At 42.4% G+C, this 7,513-nt stretch overlaps 1 annotated feature.

Moving 5' to 3' along the window:
• Positions 812 to 1,425: an enhancer, noted in NCBI's record as "OCT4-NANOG-H3K27ac-H3K4me1 hESC enhancer chrX:72326297-72326910 (GRCh37/hg19 assembly coordinates)". NCBI's record gives its function as "activates a minimal SCP1, AML or CMV promoter by ChIP-STARR-seq in primed H9 embryonic stem cells {active_cell/tissue: H9 hESC(primed)}" and the evidence as "EXISTENCE:reporter gene assay evidence [ECO:0000049][PMID:30033119]".

The raw sequence follows: 7,513 nt of genomic DNA, 5'->3' as shown, positions 1-7,513 counted from the left end.
GGGTTGAAAATTCTTTTCTTTAAGAATGTTGAATATTGGCCCCCACTCTCTTCTGGCTTGTAGGGTTTCTGCCGAGAGATCCGCTGTTAGTCTGATGGGCTTTCCTTTGAGGGTAACCCGACCTTTCTCTCTGGCTGCCTTTAACATTTTTTCCTTCATTTCAACTTTGGTGAATCTGACAATTATGTGTCTTGGAGTTGCTCTTCTCGAGGAGTATCTTTGTGGCGTTCTCTGTATTTCCTGAATCTGAACGTTGGCCTGCCTTGCTAGATTGGGGAAGTTCTCCTGGATAATATCCTGCAGAGTGTTTTCCAACTTGGTTCCATTCTCCACATCACTTTCAGGTACACCAATCAGACGTAGATTTGGTCTTTTCACATAGTCCCATATTTCTTGGAGGCTTTGCTCATTTCTTTTTATTCTTTTTTCTCTAAACTTCCCTTCTCGCTTCATTTCATTCATTTCATCTTCCATCGCTGATACCCTTTCTTCCAGTTGATCGCATCGGCTCCTGAGGCTTCTGCATTCTTCACGTAGTTCTCGAGCCTTGGTTTTCAGCTCCATCAGCTCCTTTAAGCACTTCTCTGTATTGGTTATTCTAGTTATACATTCTTCTAAATTTTTTTCAAAGTTTTCAACTTCTTTGCCTTTGGTTTGAATGTCCTCCCGTAGCTCAGAGTAATTTGATCGTCTGAAGCCTTCTTCTCTCAGCTCGTCAAAATCATTCTCCATCCAGCTTTGTTCTGTTGCTGGTGAGGAACTGCGTTCCTTTGGAGGAGGAGAGGCGCTCTTCGTTTTAGAGTTTCCAGTTTTTCTGTTCTGTTTTTTCCCCATCTTTGTGGTTTTATCTACTTTTGGTCTTTGATGATGGTGATGTACAGATGGGTTTTCGGTGTAGATGTCCTTTCTGGTTGTTAGTTTTCCTTCTAACAGACAGGACCCTCAGCTGCAGGTCTGTTGGAATACCCTGCCGTGTGAGGTGTCAGTGTGCCCCTGCTGGGGGGTGCCTCCCAGTTAGGCTGCTCGGGGGTCAGGGGTCAGGGACCCACTTGAGGAGGCAGTCTGCCCGTTCTCAGATCTCCAGCTGCGTGCTGGGAGAACCACTGCTCTCTTCAAAGCTGTCAGACAGGGACACTTAAGTCTGCAGAGGTTACTGCTGTCTTTTTGTTTGTCTGTGCCCTGCCCCCAGAGGTGGAGCCTACAGAGGCAGGCAGGCCTCCTTGAGCTGTGGTGGGCTCCACCCAGTTCGAGCTTCCCGGCTGCTTTGTTTACCTAAGCAAGCCTGGGCAATGGCGGGCGCCCCTCCCCCAGCCTCGTTGCCGCCTTGCAGTTTGATCTCAGACTGCTGTGCTAGCAATCAGCGAGATTCCGTGGGCGTAGGACCCTCTGAGCCAGGTGTGGGATATAGTCTCGTGGTGCGCCGTTTCTTAAGCCAGTCTGAAAAGCGCAATATTCGGGTGGGAGTGACCCGATTTTCCAGGTGCGTCCGTCACCCCTTTCTTTGACTCGGAAAGGGAACTCCCTGACCCCTTGCGCTTCCCAGGTGAGGCAATGCCTCGCCCTGCTTCGGCTCGCGCACGGTGCGCACACACACTGGCCTGCGCCCACTGTCTGGCACTCCCTAGTGAGATGAACCCGGTACCTCAAATGGAAATGCAGAAATCACCCGTCTTCTGCGTCGCTCACGCTGGGAGCTGTAGACTGGAGCTGTTCCTATTCGGCCATCTTGGCTCCTCCTCCTTGTACACTGTTTTTTAGCCATAATTATATTGCGCAGTTAATAGACTACAGTACACTATAAAGATATAATAACTTTTATATGGACTGGGAAACCAAAAAAATTGTGTGATTCACTTCATTGTGATATTTGCTTTACTGTGGTGGTCTGGAACAAAACCTGAAATATCTGCAAGGTATGCTTGTATATATTGAAATTTTCCTGTGTGAGTTTTGGGTTGTTTTTTTTTTTTTACCATTTTGTCAAAAATGAGATCAAACACTTTACATTTTTCTGGAACTTCTACATTCACAGAAAAGGATAACACACATAGATCAGATAAATTGTTTTGATTAAAATTTGCACAAACATCCACATTAAAAATAAACTGGACCTCATGTAACAATTCCCTGATTGTGTCAGATGTTTTATTTTTACAGATAAAAGACCTCAGTCATTCTTACTATTTTTCCCTGTCTGTAATGTGTTTCTTTTATTAGCCTGCTTTGAAGAATTTTTCTTTACTTCTGTATGTTAGGCAATTTGTTTATTGTAGGTCTTGGTGAGCCCTTCATTTTGCTTCCTGTTTGGAGTTCATAGAACTTCTTGCAGCTGTGAGTTTATCATCATTTTGCTTCATATTTGTAACATTTTTTAACCATTATTTCTTCAAATATTTTTCCATTCCCCACGCCCTACTCCCTTTTTCTTCAGAAACACTAATTACATGTAGGTTTAGTAACTCAATATTGGCCTACAGGTCAGTGAGTTTTATTCCATTATTGTTTCTTTCATGTTTGAAGCTTTATTGAGGTATAACTGACGTACAACAATAGATACATATAAAGTAAACAACTGAATAAGTTTTGACATATGACCCATGGAATTTAATCTCCAATGTGGGAATATCGAGAGATGGGGCCTTTAAGAGGTGACAGGGTCATGAGGGTTGAGCCCTGATGAACTAATATGTTAATAGATTAATGGGTTATCATAGGCATGGGAATGATGGCTTTATAAGAAAACATAGACTTGAGCCAGTACACTCAGTCCCCTCACCCTGTGATGCCCTATGCTGCCTTGGGACTCTGCAGAGAGTCTCCAACAACCAGAAGGCCCTCACCAGATATGGCTCCTTGACCTTGGACTTCTCAGACTCCATAACTGTAAGAAATAAATTCCTTTTCTTTATAAATTACCCAGTTTCCAGTGTTCTGTTAAAAGCAACAGAAATCACACTAAGTCAAGGCCTTAGGATTTTTGGAATGATAATGATCAATTCCAAATTTCAGCATTAATTTCAACATGAAGTCACCAGCTGCATTAGCTTCTAACAAGACACTTAGCCTGTTCACTGAAGTTTTGAAACTAGGCATTAACCTCGCCTCTCTAGCTATAAAAGTAATAGGTGCCATCTTCTTCAAATATAAGGCTCTTTTGCCTAAATTGAAAATCTGTTTAGTGTAGCCACCTTCATCAATAATTTTAGCTAGATTGTCTGGATAATTTGCTGTAGCTTCTACACCAGCACTTGCTCCTTCATTTCGTACTTTTATGTTATGCAGATGGCTTATTTCCTTAAACCTCATGAACCAAACTCTGCTAGCTTCCAAAATTTCTTCGGCAGCCTCCTTATCTCTCTCAACCTTCATAGAATTGAAAAGAGTTAGGACCTTGCTCTAGATAAGGCTTTGGCTTAAGGGAATGTTGTGGCTGGTTTGATCTTCTATCCAGACCACTAAAACTTTCTTCATAACAGCAATACTGCTGTTTTGCTTTTTTATTCATGTGCTCACTAGAGTAGCACTTTTATTTTTTTTTTAAGAATTGATCTTTTACATTCACAACTTGGCTAACCATTTGGCATAAAAGACCTAGCTTTTGGCTTCTCCTGGATTTTTATATGCCTTCCCCACTAAGCTCATTTTTAACTTTTGATTTACATTTAGAGGAATGGAAATCTTTCTTTCACTTGAACAATTAAAGGTCATTGTAGGGTTATTAGTAGGCTTAATTTCAATAATATTGTCTCTCAGGGAATAAGGAGTCCCAAAGAGAGAGGATAGATGGTGGAGCAGTCAGAACACACACAACATTTATCAGTTAAGCCTGCTGTCTTACATGGGTGCAGTTTGTGTTGCCCCAAAACAATTATAATAGTAACATCAAAGATGTCTGATCACATATCACCATAATAGACATGACAGCAATGAAAATGTTTGAAATATTGGGAGGGTTATCAAAGTGTGACAAGGAGACACAAAGTGAACATATGTTAGAAAAATGGAGCTGATAGACTTACTGGACACTAGGTTGCCACAAACCTCAAGTTTGTAAAAAAAATACATTATCTGCAAACCACAGTAAAACAAAGCACAATGAAATAAAGTATGCCTGTGTTTATATGAACTTGAGGAAAGCATAAAATAAAACAGATAATTGTGTTCTCTGTAATCTCAAGTGTGTGAGATTGGATGGGGTTGCCATAGTAAGGGTATTGTTAACCTTTAAAAAAATACATGTCTGCATTGTTCTGTCTGTTTCAATAGCATTCAACCAAATATTAATTCGGTAATATTTATAGACTCTGATAAACCAAGAGAGGGCAACTCAGTGTAAAATAACATGGTGATCACAGGATCAACTCTGGAACAAGACTGCCTTGCTTTGAATCACATTACAGACTCTGACACTTATTATATGTGAGATCTCAGGCAGGTTATTTAAACACTCAGTACCGAAAGTTTTCCTATTTGTAAAATGGACATTATAATAACACTTATTTGAGAGGTTGTTATATGCTTTAGTGGTGTAATAATCAATTGCCTGTCTACCATTTAAGTGCTTGTGTGTGAGAGAGACATAGAGTTTGTATTTGATGCATAATTCAAATATAAATCAAGCTCAAATGTGGAAGAGGAGTAGAGCAAGATTGTGGAATAGAAAGCTTCACCGATCATCCCCCCTGCAAGGACACCAAGTTAACAAATATCTACACAGAAAAAAAAAAACACCTTCATAAGAACCCAAAATCAGATGAGCACTTATAGTACCTTGTATTAGTCTGTTCCCTGATGCTATAAAGAAATACCTGAGACTGGATAATTTATAAAGAAAAGAGGCCTAAGTGGCTCATATTCCACAGGCTGTATAGGAAGCATAGCAGCTTCTGCTCAGCTTCTGAGGAAGCCTCAGGAAACTTACAATCATGGTAGAAGGCAAAGGTGGAACCAGCACTTCACATGGCTGGAGCAAGAGGAAGAGAGAGAGGAGGGAAGTTCTACACATTTTTACATAACCAGATCTCCTGAGAACTCACTCTGTATCAGGAGAACAATCCTAAGGGGGATGGTGTTAAACTATGAGAAACCACCCCCATGAGTCAATAACCTCACACCAGGCCCCACATCCAACATTGGGGATTACAACTAGACATGAGATTTTGGCAGGGACACAAATCCAAACCATAACATATCTGGTTTTAACTTCAAATCACTGAAAAATGCACTGAAGAGATACAAAAAACAGTCCTGAATCAACCCCTCCCCTTCCTCCCCACCCCACCCCCCACCACCACAGAGGCAGTGTAGGGTGGACAGCATCTCTCAGCACTGGGGGAAGGAGAACATAGCAGTTGTGAGGCAATGAATTCAGTGCTGCCTTGTTAGAGCAGAAAGGAAAACTAGACCAAACTCAACTAATGCCCATCCTCAGAGGGAGCATTTAAACCAGCCCTAGCCAGAGGGGAATCACCAACCACAGGGACTAAACTTGAGTAGCCACAAACCTCTGCAACAAGAATTACAGCATTCTGGGTCTCCAAGTAAACTTGAAAGGCAGTCTAGGCCATAAGGACTGCAACTTTAAGGTGAGACCTATTGCTGAATTAGGCCCAGAGACAGTGGTCTGGGGTAGGGGGGCACATGACATACAGAGACACCAGCTGGAACAGCCAAGGGAGTGATTTCATTATCCCTCCACTAACCCCAGGCTGCACAGCTCATAGCCCCCTTTAGGTTTAGGACCCCTTCCCTCCACTTGAGGAGACAACAGGGAAGAGTGGGGAGGACTGTGTCTTACATCTAGGATATCAGCCCAACCGCAGCAAGATAGGGCACCAGTCAGAGTCAGGAGACCTCTGTTTCAGGTCCTGGCTCCCAGATGACAATTCTAGACACACCTTGGGCCAGAAGAGAACCTATTGCCTTGAAGGAAAGAACCAAGCCCTGACAGTATTTATTACCTGCTAACTGAAGAGCTCTTGTTCCCTGAAAAACCAGTAGTGATACCCAGGTATTACATCAAGAGCCTTATATGAGCCTCTGAGACTTACTGGCTTCAGGTAAGACTCAGCACATAACCAGCTCTGGTGGCTACGGGGCAAAACTCCTTCTGCTTTAAAAAAGCATAAGGAAATGTAAAGAGGACTTTGTCTTGCACCTTAGGCACCAGCATGAATATAGGAGGATAGAGCACCAAGTGGGCTTTTGGGGTCCCTGATTTCAGGACTTGGATCTTAGATGGCATTTCTGGACCTGTCCTGAGCCAGAGGGGAGCCCACTGCCCTGAAAGGTGAGTCCCAGGCCAGGCAGCATTTATGACAACCTGACATAAAATAATTTGAGCCTTAAGGAAACATCCATGGTAGTCTAGCAGTACTCCTCAGGGCCTGGGGTGGTAGTGGCTATGGAGTGATGTTTCTCTGCCTTTGGAAAGGAGAAGGAAGAGTAAAAAGGACTGCATCATGTAGTTTGAATGCCAGCTCAACCACAATACGATAGAACACTGGGTAGATTTCTAAGGTTTTTTACTCTAGTCCCTGACTCCCAGATGGGACACCACTTCTAAGACCACTTTGGGCTTTAGGAATCTCGCAGCCAAGAAGGGAAGGACACAGGCCTGGCTGGTTTTGCCACTTGTTGATTATAGAGCCCCAGGGTCTTGAGAAAATATAGGGTTATAGCAGGCCTTGAATGAGACCCACCACTGTGCTGGCTTCAGGTCTGACTCAGTGCAGTCCAACTTGTGGTGGACACAGGGGTGCTTGTATTACTCCACTCTCAGCTTAAAGTGTCACAGAACACAGAGAGAGGTTCTGTATGGTTGGTAGAAAGTAAAATAAAAAAGAGACCAAGGGTATCTGCCTGGTAATCCAGAAAATTCTCCCAGGTCTTGTGCAAGACCATCAAGGCAGTACCTCTATGAGTCTGCAAGAACGACTGTGTTTCTGGGCTTGGGGTGTCCCCTAAAGCAGATACAGCTCAGATCACAACACCCAAGTCCTTTCAAAACTTTGGGAATCTTTCACAAGAAGGACAGCTACAAATAAGCCCAGAAAGTGAAGACTACAATAAATACCCAACCCTTCAATGACCAGACAGTGAAGAAAACCTACTAGCTTTGACACTATCTAGGAAAACATGAACTCACCAAATGAACTAAATAAGGCCCCAAGGATGACCATTCCCGGAGAAACAGATATGGGAACTTTCAGACAGAAAATTCAATATAGCAGTGTTAGGGAAACTCACAGAAATTCAAGATAACACAGAGAAGGAATTCAGAAGTCTATCAGATAAATTTAATAAAGATATTAAAATAATTAATAAGAATCAAGCAGAAATTCTGGAATTGTAAAATGCAATTGGCACACAGAAGAACACAACAGAATTATTTAATAGCAGAATGGAAGAAGCAGAAGAAAGAATTAGTGAGCTTGAAGACAGGCTATTTGAAATTACACAGTCAGAGGAGACAAAGAGAAAAGAATAAAAAACAATGAAGTACACCTACAAG

This window comes from Homo sapiens, chromosome X (genome assembly GCF_000001405.40).
Source record: "Homo sapiens chromosome X, GRCh38.p14 Primary Assembly".
NCBI classification, from domain to species: Eukaryota; Metazoa; Chordata; class Mammalia; order Primates; family Hominidae; genus Homo; species Homo sapiens.
Note: the sequence above shows the minus strand (reverse complement) of the source record. Positions and strands in the feature narration are given on the sequence as shown.